The 17,873-nt window shown below is 45.2% G+C and overlaps 1 protein-coding gene across 5 annotated transcripts in view, besides 1 other annotated feature; it reads right to left on the bottom strand.

The window, feature by feature from the left end:
• GPLD1 (glycosylphosphatidylinositol specific phospholipase D1) overlaps window positions 1-17,873 on the bottom strand; it is a 71,319-nt gene that overhangs the window by 22,452 nt on the left and 30,994 nt on the right. For 4 of the 5 annotated variants that reach the window (XR_007059240.1, XM_017010753.3, NM_001503.4 and 1 more), the window contains 8 exons: window positions 16,310-16,375; window positions 13,859-13,979; window positions 10,078-10,217; window positions 7,595-7,781; window positions 3,369-3,479; window positions 1,714-1,788; window positions 1,457-1,613; window positions 418-559 (listed from right to left, as the gene is read on the bottom strand). Coding sequence is in view for 4 of the 5 variants with exons in the window: in XM_017010753.3 (XP_016866242.1) it covers window positions 418-559; window positions 1,457-1,613; window positions 1,714-1,788; window positions 3,369-3,479; window positions 7,595-7,781; window positions 10,078-10,217; window positions 13,859-13,979; window positions 16,310-16,375 (999 nt within the window). In the remaining variant the exon portion in view is untranslated. Of the gene's footprint in view, window positions 1-417; window positions 560-1,456; window positions 1,614-1,713; window positions 1,789-3,368; window positions 3,480-7,594; window positions 7,782-10,077; window positions 10,218-13,858; window positions 13,980-16,309; window positions 16,376-17,873 lie in introns of those variants that run through there. The other variant, XM_047418658.1, reaches the window with a different exon arrangement.
• Window positions 16,452-16,652: a silencer, noted in NCBI's record as "peak5733 fragment used in MPRA reporter construct". NCBI's record gives its function as "represses an SCP1 promoter by STARR-seq MPRAs in K562 erythroleukemia cells {active_cell/tissue: K562}" and the evidence as "EXISTENCE:reporter gene assay evidence [ECO:0000049][PMID:32103011]".

The following is a 17,873-nucleotide window of genomic DNA, read 5'->3' on the forward strand; positions in this document are numbered from 1 at the left end:
GGACGAGTTCGAGCCTGCAGTGAGTTACCACTGCCCTCTGCCCTTTGCAACAGAGTGAACCCTCACCCCCTCCTCCCAAAAGAAAAAACAGAAGTGAGGAATGGGGCACAGACACACAGAGAGGGAAGACAGCCATCTGCAAGCCAAGGAGACAGGCCTCAGGAGAAACCAACCCTCTGACCTCAACCTTGATCTTGGACGTCTAGCTTCCAGAACTGTGAGAAAATAATACATTTGTCTATTGTATTTTTAAATTTCTAAGGAGGAGAATTTGCAATCTTGCCCAGAGCCTTGGCTTTTCCTTCAAAAGTCAAGCATTTCCTAGCCCTTTTCCCTCAGCCTCATGCTCAGTGCGCTCCATAGCAGCAGGTACCTGCCCCTGTGTTCATGGTTCCCAGCCCCCAGCATCAGCCTCACCTGCTGGCATTCTTCCAGGTCGGGCTCCCAACCAACAGCAAGGTTCTGTTGTCCACAGTGACACCGTGAAGGGAATATCCAAACCAGGAGAAGTCTTCCTCGCCTCTCACCGTCCAGTTGGCTGCCTCCACGTTCAGTTTTTCTAAAGAAGACAACTCATCCTTTTTACTAATACTTTAAGTGAGAGGACTACTGGGATGAAAAGAAAGGGTCCTTCTCGTAGCCTAATAGAAGTGGGTTCATTTTGCTGAGTTTTTGCCAGAGGTCTTATATGTCCCCATGCTGATCCCAGGACCCCAATGTCATTGAATCTCACTCTTCATACAAGAAATACATTTCTAGAGCTCACTTCTGTGGAGCAGAGGATGCTATTTAAAAAGGCTCTGGGCCAGGTGCGGTGGCTCACACCTGTAATCCCAGCACTTTGGGACGCCGAGGTGGGTGGATCACCAGAGGTCAGGAGTTCAAGACCAGCCTGACCAATATGATGAAACCCCGTCTCTACTAAAAATACAAAAATTAGCCGGGCATGGTGGCATGCGCCTGTAGTCCCCACCTGTAGTCCCAGCTACTCAGGAGGCTGAGACAGAATTGCTTAAACCTGGGAGGTGGAGGTTGTAGTGAGCCAAGATTATGCTACTGCACTCCAGCCTGGGTGACACAGGGAGACTCTGTCTCAAAAAAAAGAAAAAACAACAATAACAACAACAACAACAACAACAGCTATGGACAGTCGAGAGCACCACTGAGATGCCTCCGGTGCAAAGCCTCCTCAGTGTTTCTGTTTTACATGGAGACACTATGGGAATAGTCTATTTGCCCTCTTTGGCTCTCTACCTAGAAACTGTGGGTCACCTTTTGTATTTTCAGTGAATCTATGCACATCACTTGCCAACACATCTTTAAGAGTAACAGACTGTTAGAAAATGTTGGTGAAATGATATGGAATAAGGAAAAAGGATATAAACCCCTATGCAGGATAAGTTGTCGTAGACACACAGAGCAGCCATGGTCTCACCCATTCCCCCTCAGGCACTACCTTTGTCGCTCAGGCTGGGGCCAGAATAAAACGCAGCCACAATTCCCTTCTGCTTCCCTCCACCTGGTGCAAAAGGGGAGCCGATGACCAGATCGGGTTCACTGTCTCCATTCACATCTGCAGCCAAGAGAGTCCAGCCCAAGTTACAGTAGATGTCCTTAAGAAGAAACCAGGAAAGCACATTTTACCCAGCCCTGGTGGCAGTTAGGATACAGCGAGTTCTAGGTTTCTGCACCTGGCTAAAGTGGTAAACATACCTGGCAAGAAATGGTGATGTTAGGGGAAGAAGACATTCCTCCTTGTTTGGAACCAAAGTAGACATACACGGCACCCTAGATAAGGACAAACAGCAGATAGACATGAGGCTCTGGTGGTGACCCAAGAACCTTAAATAACAGAAGATAAAAAGGACTGACTCTGGGTCCAGGTATGGTGGCTGATGTCTATAATCCCAGTGCTTTGGGAGGCCCAAGTGGGAACATTGCTTGAGGCCAGGAGTTCAAGAGCAGCCTCGAAAACACAGTGAGATCCTGTGTCCACGAAAAAAACTTTTAATTAAAGCGAGACCTTGTCAAATTATCACCACCCCCAATGATTGGGAGCTTAATGACAGACAGAAATCCATTCTGCGCATTGCTGCTGGGCTGAAAGGAATTTTTTTAAAGTCTGTCACTTCCATCAGACTATGAGAGTCCACAATGCAGAAATGATGTCATTTATATCTTTGCCTCCCTGATGTCTTACTCAAGATCCTCCACACACAATTGTGCAGTGTGCTTGCAGAATGACTTACTCAACTCCTTGCCCACTTCAAGGACCAGCACAGTTTCAGGCTCTTCCATGAAGCCCCCGGGCCACAGCCTGTTGTACCCATGGCACATCTGAATGCCAACATACCACATCTGTACCACTTACCTGCCTGAGGATACACACTGTGCTATTTTATTCTGTGTTACCAATCAGTTCCTCTTATAACTTGCCTGTCTCCATCCCCATTCATTCTACAAGCACTTCTTTTCCATCATAAGCCAGGTACTAGGTACACAATGACAAATAAGACCAATCTCTTTCCTCCTGAAAGGCTGGCACACAGGTCATTATGACACCCAGGGAAGAAGGGGATATAACAGGTACAAGCACAGGATGCTAAGTGGGGACAAGGAAGTATCAGCCTCGCCCAGGAGTTAGGTAATAGTTTCTGCAAGAAGTGACATGTCACTCCTAAAGAAAGACAGGGGAGAAAAAGCTTTTCAAGCAGAGGAAACTGTACGAGCAAAGGTCGCAAAGTGAGACAGCCTGATGAGTTCAGGACGTGACAGACTGCTGGCATGTCTAGAAATGGAGTGTGAGGAGGAAGGGGCAAGAGTTGAGTCTGCAGAGGGCAGCTGGCAAGGGAGGGCCCTCGACCTCCACAGTCACACATGGTGCCCGGATGCGTGGTCCCTGCTATGGTAGGAAGCATCTGTGGGAAGCAAGCAAGCCCTGTGGGCCAGGGTCCAGGATCTCTAACTCAGTAAGAAAGGAGGCAACAGGCGGGGATCCACCATTTGAGGAGAGGCCCAGGGAAGTCACCTCGCTGTTGTGATAACCAGAAACTACAGATGAGCTGGGATTTCTGTCTCCCTTCACTGGCATTCAGCATGGTGGGGGATGAAAAAAAGGGCTAAGTACCTGGTGGAATTGGGAAACCATAGGGCCAAAATAAGGCCAGGGAGGCAGCAGCAGGTGCTACAAGGTAACTCAAGGTCACGGCAAGAACCCCATAGGGGCCTGAGATTATCTGCTCACAAATGCTCTGTCTCACACACTGGCTGTCTGCTTTGCTCCAGGGGCTCATCCCAGCGTTGGCCTCCCTCAGAGTCCCCTCCCTGCCACCCCATTCTCCTCCAACCCTATCCAGCAGCAGCCTTACTTTGTAGGTGAGCTGCTCGGAGCCCACCGAGGGAGCTCCCACGGCCAGGTCAGGCACGCCGTCCACGTTAAAGTCCAACACAGCCAAGGCCGAGCCAAACCGACCTGAGGGCTGAAGAGGCACAAGTTTACTTCCCCTGGGCTGAGCCACGGCCTCGGAAAGAGCACTCCTGACCCCCAGGGAGTAGAGAGGCCTGGGACAACCCCCGCCCCCCGCCACCCAAAAGCCGAAGGTGCAGTAAGCTATAACATATCTGCAACACATCAGTTAGGTAGCTCTGCCCTAAGTATATTTTCAGCATGTCTGTCTGCCTTGAGGGGAAGCAGAGATGCCAGAAAGTAGAGGGTTGGTTCTTATGAGTTCTAGATTTGTAGAAAATAGCCTCGTGTATGTTCAGACCCACATTAAGCACAAAACTTATCTTCGAAAGTATCTAAAATAGGCCGGGCACGGTGGCTCACACCTGTAATCCCAGCACTTTGGGAGGCCTGAACCTGAGGTCAGGAGTTCAAAACCAGCCTGGCCAACATAGTGAAACCCCATCTGTACTAAAACTACAAGAATTAGCCGGGTGTGGTGGCACATGCCTGTAATCCCAGCTACTCTGGAGACTGAGGCAGGAGAATCCCTTGAATCTGGGAGGCGGAGGTTGCAGTAAGCCAAGATCGTGCCACTGCACTCCAGCCTAGGCAACACAGCGAGACTCCATCTCAAAAAAACAAACAAACAAAAAAGAAAGTATCTAAAATAATAATCATATAACATCAGCAACAATAGCTAACATTTGTTGAATACTCAGGATGTTCTAGAGCCATGCTGACCAAGGTGGTAGCCCCTAGCCAAATAGGGCTGTTACATTTAAATTTAAAGTAATTAACATTAAATAGAATCAAAAATTCAGTTTCTACCCTGGCGCAGTGGCTTATGCCTGTAATCCCAGCACTTTGGGAGGCCGAGGCGAGCAGATCACCTGAGGAGTTTGAGACCAGCCTGGCCAACATGGCCAAACCTCATGTCTACTAAAAATACAAAAATTAGCCAGGTGTGGTGGTGGGCACCTGTAATTCCAGCTACTCAGGAGGCTGAGGCAGGAGAATCGCTTGAACCTGGGAGGCAGAGGTTGCAGTGAGCCGAGATCATGCCACTGCACTCCAGCCTGGGCAACAGAAGTGAAACTCCATCTCAAAACAAACACACAAACAGAATAAATAAATAAATAAATAAAAATTCAGTTTTTCAGTTGCAATAGCCACATTTCAAATGTTCAAAGCCTGTGTTTTATGTCTCCCGCACTGGACAGCACAGCTACGGAACATTCCTATCAGTGCAGAAAGTCCTGTAGGACGGTGTAGATATTGTTCTAAGCACTTTAAATGGATTAAGGTAGGAACTGTTAGCATCCTCACTTTAACAGTGTACAGATGGAAAACTCAATCTCTTCAGACTTTTTTTTTCCAAAGTGGACTTTCTAGATCTTTCTTATCCTACCGTCTGGAATCAGCCTAAACCTGAAAGTAATTCACTGGGTTTTCCAATTCTTTCTCTTTTTTTTGTTTTTGTTTTTTGTTTTTGAGATGGAGTTTCGCTCTTGTTGCCCAGGCTAGAGTGCAATAGTGCTTGGCTCACCGCAACCTCCGCCTCCTGGGTTCAAGCGATTCTCCTGCCTCAGCCTCCCGAGTAGCTGGGATTACAGGCATATGCCACCACATCTGGCTAATTTTGTATTTTTAGTAGAGACGGGGTTTCACCACGTTGATCAGGCTGGTCTTGATCTCTTGACCTCAGGATCTGCCCGCCTTGGCCTCCCAAAGTGCTGGGATTATAGGCATGAGCCACCGCGCCCGGCCAGGTTCTCCAATTCTTTCACAACTTACATAACAACGAATGGCCTTTCACACAGTGGTGCTTGCCACATAACACACATGCTGAAGGACCCACGTCCATTATTTATTAGGTAATCTCTCCACACCCGTGTGCAGTGGCATCTATAAGTGCTGCCCCTTTCTGTAAGGCAGAAACTTGATAAACAAGATAAGGTTGCCTGGGGACACAAAACACGCTAGGGCAGGGTGGGAACCAATAACTCAGGGCTCTGCCAGCTGAGGACTGGTTCATTTTATCACTATCAGCTGCACCATCCGGCCCTCCTACGGGCCAGCCAGTCATTCCGAGAGGAGCACAGAACTTTAAAGCAGGCCAGGCCTTGAGTTTCCTATCATAAACCTTCATTGTATCAATGAGGACACAGAGATGCTCACTGCAGTCAGGGCCTGAGGGCAGGATTTCCATCCTTCGTCCATGCCTTTATCTTGCCATCTTTGAAATGATCAAAGGTCACTAGGGGAGGAGGGCATGGAGCCACTTCCTTTCTCACCCAAGTGGTCTTTGAGAGAGTTTAGCAGCCACAGGAAGCAGGTGCCTCTCTTTATTCCCTGTCTATATGTGCCCAAAGGTTTACACTTTACACAACAGTCTGTCGGGGAAAGGCTTTGTAGAGAAGTAAGAAGCAACAAGATTAGATAAATTTATTTTGGAAATTTTTCATGTGGTGTCAGAAGGCCCTGAAAAATGCTGTCCCTCTGGGACTGTGACCTTACACACTGACCAGTCACCTTATTTGTACATGTTGGATTCAGAGCTCCTTTCATCAGAGCCTAAACTAGATCATAAATCATTGTACTTCTTATTTTTGAAAGCGTGTTCATGGCTGGGCGTGGTGGCTCACACCTACAATCCCGGCACTTTGGGAGGCTGAGGCGGACGGACCACCTGAGGTCAAGAGTTCAAGACCAGCCTTACCAATATGGTGAAACCCCGTCTCTACTAAAAATACAAAAATTAGCCGGGCATGGCGGTGCATGCCTGTAGTCCTAGCTACTTGTGACCTTGAGATGGGAGAATAACTTAAACCCAGAAGGCAGAGGTTGCAGTGAGCCAAGATCATGCCACTGCACTCCAGTCTGGGCAACAGTGAGAGTTTATCTCAAAAAAAAAAAAAAAGCAAGCACGTTCAGGTGTGCCATCTTATTTTCTCTTCACAGGATTCACTTCACAGCGAAAGGGTAAGTGCCTTGCCTGGAACAAGAACCACGACGATCTGACTGGAAGTCTAGGGTTCTCCCCCTAGCACTTGACACTCAGAGAATGCAGTGCCAGGCCAGTATCACCAAAAGCCCCACACTCATTGGTGACTAGTAGCAGAGCTCTGTCTACCCCACCCCCCCACGCTCCTCCTTATTGCTGTTACAAAAACTAAAGCCTCTGATGTTAGAAAAACTTTCCAGGACCCTAGCGCTCTCGGGAGGAATTAATGCTTGGACTCCACGAGGAACGTTTGTAGTCACTGCGGGTTTTTTCAGGTGATGAATAACCACTTAGGACAAAAGAAGGAAATCTAAAGAAAGCCTGGCGTTTAGTTAATAGTGATGTACAGTGTTGTTTTTATTCTTAATTTTTGACAAGTATACCATAATTATGTAAGATGTTAACATAGGGGAAAATGAGTAAACAGTACATGGGAACTCTTTGTACTGTCTTTATACCTTTTCTGTGAATCTAAAATTCTGGACGGATGCAGTGGCTCACGCCTGTAATCCCAGCACTTTGGGAGGCCAAGGTGGGTGGATCACCTAAGGTCAGGAGTTTGAGACCAGACTGGCCAACATGGCAAAACTGCATCTCTACTAAAAATAAAAAAATTAGCCGGGCCTGGTGGTGTGCACCTGTAGTACCAGCTACTCAGGAGGCTGAGGCAGGAGAATTGCTTGAACCCGGGAGGCAGAGGTTGCAGTGAGCAGAGATTGCACCACTGCACTCCAGCCTGGGTGACAGAGCAAGAGACTCCATCTCAAATAAATAAATTAATTAATTAAAATAAAATACTTACAAAGTTTTATAAATACATACATTTCGTGTGTGTGTGTGTGTGTGTGTGTATAAAGAGGTTTTATATTATCAATTATATTATCAAGAAATCACATCCCAACTGGCCACTCAAAGCAGTTCTCAATAGCATGTGTGTTTTTGGAAGGTATTAGACTAATGATAGAATAAAATAAATGATGTAAACATGCTTCTAAAACTAAAAAGTGCTTCACAAATGTACACCACCAGCTGTTTGTTACTGTAATTATTCTTGTTATTAGTTACTCATCCTGGAGAATCTGCCACAAAATGCAAGAGTAGCTACTAACCACTAGAAGAGAAAGGATGAGATGGTGTCTCACCTGGAAGCCTTCAAGGATCCTGTGGGCCTCCTTGTCCAGGTCCAGGTCAACAGGTGGCAGGCCCAGGTCATTGCCGTAGATGAGGTACACGCGCCCGATGTGGATGTGGCCGGGGCGGCTGTAGCCTGGTGCGCCCACCACGAGGTCACCGTGCCCATCCTGGTTGAGGTCAGCTGAGGTCATTGCCCTTAGGGAAGTGAAGGGACCCACCATGGTATGCACTGAGCACTAGGGTTAAAGCTGTCGCCTGCTTCTTTCCTTTCTAGAGCCCAGTCCATTAACTTTCTCTCACTGACTTTTCCACCCTGCGTGACTGTTGTGAATATTCACTTCTCAGGTTGTATTGTTAGTGTGATTCAGTCTCATTCTTCAAGGGGAAAAATAAAATAAAAATGGACAAATCAAGGCCTCTAAGCATTTCTGGACTACATAACCTGAGAGGATGAAAAGTATACTCATGAAGCTTCTTGTCTTATACACAAAACCAGGGCTTGCCTGAGAGTAGAGAGGAAATTCATGTCCAGCCAAGCCCCTCTAGCCAATGGCGCAGGCCACTTTCTGATCTGCTCAATTCGTTTCAATGTGTTATCTGATCAAAGACGAGCTTGTGTGAAATAGACTATGTTTTTACCACAGCCACAAAGGCACCTGGCAGTGGGCCAAATCAAGAGTCCCACATGTTTAGTAGAGGCTCCTAGATGAGATTCCAAGAGCCACCAGTTACAGAGCTGGATAAACCGAGTCAAAGGTTCAAGTGTCACTACAGGGGCTGGAAAGACCAAAAGTCATTTGTTTATTCTAGTGCTTATCATCACATAAAGAACAAATGGCAGGCCGAGCATGGTGGCTCACGCCTGTAATCCCAGCACTTTGGGAGGCCAAGGCAGGTGGATCACCTGAGATCAGGAGTTCGATACCAGCCTGGCCAAGACAGTGAAATGCTGTCTCTACTAAAAATACAAAAATTAGCTGGGTATGGTGGCAGGCGCCTGTAATCCCAGCTACTTTGGAGGCTGAGGCAGGAGAATCACTTGAACCCGGGAGGCAGAGAACCCAGTGAGCCGAAATCAGAACAAACGGCAGAACAAAGGAAAAAGTCAAGAGCAGTTGTTTAAGGCTGTGATACCTGGTGGGAGGGACAGACACTCCAGTGGACCCATTGCTGTTCTCTGCACTTTGGAGGCTCAATGCTGGCCAGTAATGGCCCTAGGGATGCCCCTGTGGCTGGCTGTGCTTATGTAGCTGCCAGCCCAGCAGGAGGCCTTTCGGATCTTTCAGGGAGGTAGCCATACACACAAGTGAACGACCAGTAAAGACAGCATTCACCTCCCCATCTCCTGCACTAGAGCTGAATGCACAGAAGCCCTGAAAGGAAGGACTGTCAGGAAATTGTGCCAAGGAAATGCAATGCCCTTTGGAATTAAGGAGTATGATTTTTTTAAAAAGCCTTCATCCAAACTTCCAGAAAATAGTCACTTTTATATACTTGGGGTTAGTTTTGTATGTTGTTGTTGTTTTGTTTTATTTTTTTATTTATTTTGGGGGCTTAGTTTTGGTTGAATTTTAAAATCAGAGGAATTCCTAACATTCTCTTTATAAAACTGTCATGGTATACCAGCTTTTACCATATGAAGTTACAATATTTAAATCACTATAACAGCTATCTGCTTATATCCTTCTGATGTGACTAGATTACAAAAGAAATCTGTAAGAATTTATCTCCAAGAACATCAGAGCTTTACAAAAATTCCATGAAACAATCCTTTATTGTTGTGATTATTTAGTAAACCGAAAGTTCCTTGTATTTAAACATATTTGACCAAGTGTAAGGAGATCATTTCATTGTTACAATAACTTAACCATTAAATTAATGCTTTTGGCCAGGTGCAGTGGCTCATGCTTGTAATCCCAGCACTTTGGGGGGCTGAGGCAGGTGGATCGCTTGAGCCCAGGAGTTTGAGACCAGCCTGGGCAACATAGCAAGACCCCATCTCTAGTACAGAAAAAAAAATTTTTTTAATCAAATAAATTAATGCTTTTGTTGATGATGAATTCATTGACAAGCAAGGTGCTAACAAGCACCATTTAAAACAGTTGCAGAGGGCTGGGCACAGTGGCTCACACCTGCAATCCCAGGACTTTGGGAGGCCAAGGCGGGAAGATCACTTGAGCCCAGAAGTTCGAGATCAGCCTGGTCAACATGGTGAAACCTTGTCTCTACTAAAAATATAAAAATTAGCCAGGCATGGTGGCGCGCACCTGTAACCCCAGCTACTGGGAAGCTGAGGCAGAGAATCACTTGAACCTGGGAGGCAGAGGTTGCAGTGAGCCAAGATCAAGCCACTGTACTCCAGCCTGGGTGACAAGTGAGACTCTGTCTCAAAAATAAAATAAAATAAAATGAAATAAAAAACAGTTGCAGAATGATTGAATAAAATTAATACTGAAGAAAACATTCACAAGTTAGATAAACTTATACGTACCAGCCAAGCCTCGCATAAGGAAATGACAAGAAGTAAGATGCTAAGGGGCTGGAGACGTGCTTTTGTGACAACTGAGAGCCACCTATGAACATTGTCCTTATGTTCCTTTCCAAAGCCTTGTAGATAAAGGACATGGAATCCTGAAATAAAAGAATCATTATAGACAGTAAAGACACGTAGCATAATCAACAAAGCTACTGTTTCCTGTCCAAAGTATTGGACTTGTGTAAAGGAAATGAGTTTTTAGAAGTGCTAAACAATAAAATAAAACATTAGGTCCTATCAGCAAGTAAGATCACTTAGGACAGGCAATTAGGATAGTGAAATCATACCCCCAAATTATGCTGAGGGATGGCAGAGTTACAGCCCAAGAGGTTGGGACCAGCATGGGTAGAAAGAGTTATCGCTCTGTCACCAGGCTGGAGTGCAGTGGCACGATCTCAACTCACTGCAACCTCCGCCCCCTGGGTTCAAGCAATTCTCCTGCCTTAGCCTCCCTAGTAGCTGGGATTACAGGTGCTCGCCACCACACCCAGCTAATTTTTGTATTTTAGTAGAGATGGGGTCTCACCATGTTGGCCAGGCTGGTCTCGAATTCCTGACCTTAAGCAATCTACCTGCCTCGGCTCCCCCAAAGTGCTGGGATTACAGGCGTAAGCCACCATGCCCAGGGGACTAAAATTTTTTAAAAGACAAGTCTGTCCATGTGCAGTGGCTCACACCTGTAATCCTAGCACTTTAGGAGGCTGAGACAGGAGGATCACTTGAACCCAGGAGTTTGAGACCAGCCTGGGCAACATGGAGAAACCCCATCTCAACAAAAAATACAAAAAATTAGCCGAGTGTGGTGGAGCGTGCCTGTAATCCCTGCTACTTGGGAGGCTGAAATGGGAGGATCACCTGCATCCAAGAGGTTGAGGCTGCAATGAGCTGAGATCTCACCATTGCACTCCAGCCTGAGCAACAGAATGAGACTCTGTCTCAACAACAAGAAAAAGAACAAGTCCTTTCAATGCAGAACTTTAATTGTATTTGTATATGTGTATATATATTAACAAACAAATAAACTGGAACAACAGGATGCCAAAGATATCCTCCAGACCGGCCAGGCGTGGTGGCTCACGCCTATAATCCTAGCACTTTGGGAGGTCAAGGTGGGAGGATCACAAGGTCAGGAGTTCGAGACCAGCCTGGCCAATATAGTAAAACCCCGTCTCTACTAAAAATTAGCTGGGAGTGGTGGCGGGCACCTGTAGTCCCAGCTACTTGGGAGGCTGAGGCAGGAAAATCGCTTGAACCTGGGAGATGGAGGTTGCAGTGAGCTGAGATCGTGCCGCTGCACGCTAGCCTGGGTGACAGAGCAAGACTCCATCTCAAAAAAAAAAAACGATATCCTCCAAACCACACCCAAGCTGAGATGTGGTTGTATTTGCTGCCAGGCAGGCACGAGAGGTCACATGCAGAATGCTAGGAGCCGTACACCACAGAATTTGGGGGACAACAAGCCCCTCAGCTTGGGATGCTGAATCGTTCTTAATGTGGTTACTGCAGAGACAAAAAACACAAACGAGAGTGGCCCTGAACAAGCTGGCCAGATACTAGATCCATCCAAGTTAAGGGGACACAACTCTAAATCTGCCCAAGGGTGACATGAGACCAAACAAGATTTCCTAGGTCTGCTCCAAAGCAGAGCACAGTTGGCTCAGAGCATGAAGGCAGCCCAGATGGCTCAGGCGCTGCAAAAGCACAGGGTCTGAGGATCTTTCAGGCACGAGTATGCCTTCTGCTTTGCCCATTCTAATCTCACTGGCAGGCCATGCATAGATTGCTTCATCCTAAAGCCTAGCTCTGACTTGCTCATTCATCCAGGAAGCAATTAATCAGCTCCTACTATATGCCAGGTACCACAGCAGACACTGGGAACATAAAGTCCCTCCTTAGACAATTCATTTTTTTGCAAAGGAGAAAATCCAAATATGGCAAGACAAAATGACATGTGCTTTGATAGAGGTTCCCCTCCCCGGTCCGGACCAGCTACATAATTTAAGGAGGCCAGGGCAAAATTAAAACATGCAGCCTTTTGTTAAAAAAATTGTTAAAGCCGGGTGTGGTGGCTCACGCCTGTAATCCCAGCACTTTGGGAGGCCCAGGTGGGCGGATTACCTAAGGTCAGGAGTTCAAGACCAGCCTGGCCAACATGGTGAAACCCCATCTCTACTAAAAATACAAAAAGTAGCTGGGCATGGTGGCGGGTGCCTGTAATCCCAGCTACTCAGGAGGCTGAGGCAGGGAATTGCTTGAACCCGGGAGGCAGAGGTTACAGTGAGCTGAGGTGGTACCACTGCACTCTAGCTCAGGTGACAGAGCAAGACTCTGTCTCAAAAAAAAAAAAATTGTTAAGAATTTTAAGGCAGTGACAGCAGTATATTAAACCTAAACTAGGCCCTTCCGCAATTCTCAGAGACCCCATTCACAAAGTTGTCTAAACCCTTCTGACATTAAGAGCCCACTACAATCCAATGCCTACTTAGCTTCCTAAGCCTCTCATAGTAACTCATATTCCTTGTCCTGTGCTCCAGGCAAATACGACTACTCAGATTTCCCAACACCTGAAACTTTCCCAACCCACTAACAGAAATGTACTCTCACTGATGAAATACTATCTACTGTCCAAGACCTAACTTGAATGTCCCCTCCTCCAGGAAGCCTTCTCTGTCTGATAGCCTCCAAGGTGAAGCTTTTCTCCCTGCTATTTTTTTTTTGTTTTGTTTTTTGAGACAGGGTGTCACTCTAGCACCCAGGCTGGAGTGCAGTGGTGCAACCTCAGCTCACTGCAACCTCTGCCTTCCAGGAACAAGTAGTCCTCCCACCTCAGCCTCCCGAATAGCTGGGACTACAAGTGCACACTACCATGCCCAGCTGATTTTTTGTTACTTTTTTGTAGAGACAGGGTCTCATTATGTTACCCAGGCTAGTCTCAAACTCCTGAGCTCAAGCAATCCACCTGCCTCAGCCACTTAAAGTGCTGGGATTACAGGCGTGAGCCACCACGCCCATTCTCCCTACTATCTAATGATGCACTTACCGCACCATGGTATGTGTTGCAGTCTACTCACATAATGGTTATTTTTGTATTTGTCACTCCTTTCAGACTGAAATTTTTTAAGGGTCAGAGTTCATTTGTCTTTCATTTTATATCCCCCAGTAGAGTGTCTTCACTTAACAGCTAACTTCATTGATTAATTTCATACACAATGGGGCTATGCACAGTGAGCCTTCAACATTGTGAACGCCTTTGGGACTAAGTCCAAAGAAGGATTGGCCTGGGTGCCCAGGGTCATCTTGACTTGACAGAGACCACTGAGGTGCAGACTCAGGGCATCTCCAGAACAAACCACATATGGATGCCAAGAGTATTTGCCGGCCTGGCACATGCTTAGACCCAGGCTGGAGTGCACTGGCATGATCATAGCTCACTGTAGCCTTGAACTCCTGGGCTCAAGCAATCCTCCTGCCTTAGCCTCCCAAGTAGCTGTGACAACAGGCACAGCCATCACACCCAGCTAATTTATTTATTTTTTATAGAGACAAGGTCTTGCTATGTTGCCCAGACAGGTCTCAAACTCCTGGACTCAAGGGATCCTCTCAACTCAGCCTCCCAGCCACCACATCCCACCACAGGTAAATTTCAATGGACAAATAAATACCCAGGGACTCAGCGAAACAAGGTATCTCAAGAAGCAGCATTCCTCTTTCTCAACTTAGAGCAGAAAATTCTTACCGGGGTCCAGGAATTTACACTAAAGAACACTCCTCTTTCAGTATAGTTTATATTCCTGTCAACACTTTCAGTTAGGGATGTAGTCAAATTTCTGTGAAAATCATTTTTCTGCATTTTTGAGCTGTTGAAGAGAAAGAGGAATAAACTGGTTACGACTGAGAAAACAACCCCCTGTAAAACTGAGTTGAAGAATATAGTCAAGTTAATCACAGGTTAAAAGACCACAAAATTTTAACGTCAGAAGGCTGAAGGAGCAACACAGAAAGTTTTAGAAAACCTTCATTTCACAAAATCTTTTAGTAAACACATTTCTAAGGCTTAAAAGCCTATCCTTATAAAACATATTTCCTATAATATCAGAGCTCTATGGTAGGAGTAAAAGGCTTCAATTCTTTCCAGATTATGAAAAAATTTAGCAACAGGTATCAGCTGGTGGGGAAACTGCTTTGCAAGCATACTGATTTTTTTTTTTTTTTTTTGAGACGGAGTCTTGCTCTGTCACCTAGGCTGCAGTGCAGTGGCACGATCTCGGCTCATTGCAACCTTCGCCTCCTGGGTTCAAGCAATTCTCCTGTCTCAGCCTCCTGAGTAGCCTGGAACTACAGGCATGCACCACCACACCCAGCTGATTTTTTTGTATTTTTAGTAGAGATGGAGTTTCACTATGTTGGCCAGGCTGGGCTCGAACTCCTGAGCTCAGGTGATCCACCTGCCTCGGTCTCCCAAAGTGCTGGAATTACAGGTGTGAGCCATCACGCCCAGCCAGCATACTGATTTATCTTCAAAGACATGCTAAAATTAATTATACAATAAAAATACATTTTCACATTCAAAGATGTCAACCAGCCAAAAAGCAGATGACTCAGGGAGCCAGAGAGGCTTCAGAAATGACTGAAGTAGGGAGTGGACAACAGCCGTAAGTGACGGGGCCCTGGGCATGACACCAACTAGTGTCAGGGTTCTGGCAACCCCAAGAAAGATTGCAAGCCTAATCAAAAGGTGCTCAATGTGATTAAACAACAACAAAGTATGTTGAAGGAATGGTTTGCTAGGAAAAAAAGAAAAAGAAAAAAAAAAGTTACCCAATTCAAATACAACAATGACGACTTCACTGAACACTTTCTGTGTAATTTTCATTCTTCCAAAGTGCTAAGATCATTCCTCTCAGTACCTTTATCATTGCAATACTCTACTTTTGAGTATATCTCACTCTTGATCATCCTTAAATATCCCGGTTAAGCCATCACTTCTTCAAGGAGAGCTCTTTTGTGCCCAGGGCCAGGACGCTCTGTTGCAAATCCCCAGAACACCCTGCATTTTTAATTCCTGACACTTAAATATCTGTTAAGCCATCACTTCTTCAAGGAGAACCCTCCTGTGCCCAGGCCAGGACGCTTGCAAATCCCCAGAGCACCTTGCATTTTTTCTTCCTAACACTTAACAATGTCCACAATTACTTGTTTAGTGCCCAGCTACCTGCCAGGCCATATACCTGAGAGCAGGAACTGTTTCTGTCTTGTTCACAATGATATCTCTAGTGCCTGAACCAGTTCCTGGCACGTACTGATTAATAAATGATATTTTATTATTTGTGTTATTTTGTTCTATTTTATTAATAAATATACACATATTTGTAATATTAATAACTTATTAAATGAATGCATAAATGACTGTCGGTTGGTACCTGACTCCAGCAGAAAATATCATTTCTTAAAATACAAACCAGGCTTCTGGCCCTTAACATTGAGGGCTTCTCCCAACACTGTCTCATCAATAAATAAATTTTCATGTAAAATCTGGGTGAAGTTTATGAGTAAGACAATAATATTGATAGTTACAATAATACTAACTACATTTCTTCTTTCTTTTTTTGAGACAGGATCTCACTCTGTTGCCTAGACTGGAGTGTACTGGCCTGATCTCAGCTCACTGCAGCCTCGAACTCCTAGGCTCAAGCAATCCTCCCGCCTCAGCCTCCCAAGTAGCTGGGACTACAGGCACACACCACCATACCTGGCTAATTTTGTTCATTTTTTGTAGATATAGGGGTCTCACTATGTTGCTGAGGCTGGTCCTGAACTCCTGGACTTAAGGGATCCTCCTGCCTCAGCCTCCCAGAGTGCTAGGATTACACGTATGAGCCACTGTGCCCAGCCACTAACTACCGTTTAATGAGCAACTCAACATGTGCTAATTGCTTTACATCCACCACTGCATGTCATCCACACCATAATTCTGGGAGTGTTGATGTGCTTTTTCCATTTTGCAAAAGGAGGAAGCTATAGCTCCAAAAATCAAGCAGCTTGTTTAAAAATCACACAGCTGCAAGTGACAAATCTGGAATTTGAACCTACAGCTGTCTCTCAACAGATCCCGTGTTCTCAACCTCTATAGGGCATCTCCTCCAGGTGAGATGTACTTTTTCTATGAACAATTTTGGAATCCACTTACCCCTGGGTGTGGTTTTGCTGGCCGCCACATGCAATGAACAGAGGGTTCTCAGGCAGGTTGCAGTCACTGAGGAAACAGTCAAATGAGTTAGCCATTTATCTACTTCTTCACAAGCATGAATTTTACCGAGAATCGGTAGTGCGCTTCAATCATCTCCCAAAGGCTTAAAGTGTTTATTACCTAGCCATACAGGACTAATTAAGAGCCCATGTTCTCCCAGAGAGGGTGGGTAGGCTGACGGTTGTCACTATCATGGTAATCCAGGAAGGCTCATGCTGCCAGTCACCCCAGACTCAGCCTTCCTCTTCCCTCCCCGCTCCACCTGCTGAGCTGTTCCACGCTAACACGAAACGTCTCAGAATTTGAGAGTGTTATCAACACTGGTTACCAATTATGTCACCTTCTGCCCAATTATACACATTTATGCCTAAATGTGTCTGAATTTCTCAATTTCATTTCTTTAAAAAAAATTCCATAATTTCAATAATTAAATAGCTAATGAAGGATCCCCTTTTACAAGTGAAAAAGCCTCTGAGAACATAAGAGATAAACTCTTCCCAATAGAGGCTTTCCCCCAACACTGAACAGAAGCACTGAGGAAGCAGGTATTAATATAAGAAGAGTATTCTGGAATGAAGACTATCTTAAGATTTGTATGGAGGTCACTGAGGGAGGCTGGGGTAATACAAAAGTAATGTGGAGTGTAGGGGTGAAGAAAATTAGTTGCTGAAAAAGGAATTCCAAAAAGGAGGTGGGAAAAAGCTGAAGGCAGACTCTTCCTACCAAAACATTTCTCTGGCCAGGTTTGAGCTGAGGAAAAGGTTCTCTCTTTGGACCTTTTCTTGTCCACCACAGGACACAAAAGGCAGCCTTACAGCATTAGCACTATACTTTCAAATAGAGTTTGAGGTGAGTAGAGTTCTTGGCAATGTAACTACCACTACTTCATTGCTTTTTTAAGGAAAATATACCAAATAACATAAGTGAGCTTTGGAAGATAACCTGTGTTAGTAAGCTGGGAAATGCCTGTTACTATGAACATATTTATGTTTTCCTTTCTGTTATGAATTTTTTTGTGTTGTCTCTTTTTGGAGACTTCTCTGAATTTCCCATACATTTTCATAAATTCTGATGAATCTTTCTTTGTATATGTATGCAAACAAGCAATCAACTCATGGAATTTTACACCTTGGTAAATTGGGACAGGGATCAAGAGACAAGAAATATGTTCTTTCTCAATTATCTTTTCCTAACGAAAGAATAAGGTCCAGCTATCTTTCCTTAGCTATTTGGAGAACCAAACCAAAATTGAACACCAAAAAATGTTTTCCAGTTTGGATTATATAAAACAAGTAAGTGCAGGTCAATCACTCAAACATGCCCTTATGTTATGAGTCCTTCCAATACAAACTTTGCTTCCTTCTAATAATAATAGTAACCAATACTTAGTAAGTGCTTACTCTATTCTAAACCCTTTACATGACTGATCTAATTTACTCCTCACAAAAATCCTATGGTAAAAATAGTATTGCTGTCCCAATTTTATAGGTGAGGAAATAAGATT

The sequence above is a fragment of the Homo sapiens genome, chromosome 6 (genome assembly GCF_000001405.40).
Source record: "Homo sapiens chromosome 6, GRCh38.p14 Primary Assembly".
NCBI classification, from domain to species: domain Eukaryota; kingdom Metazoa; phylum Chordata; class Mammalia; order Primates; family Hominidae; genus Homo; species Homo sapiens.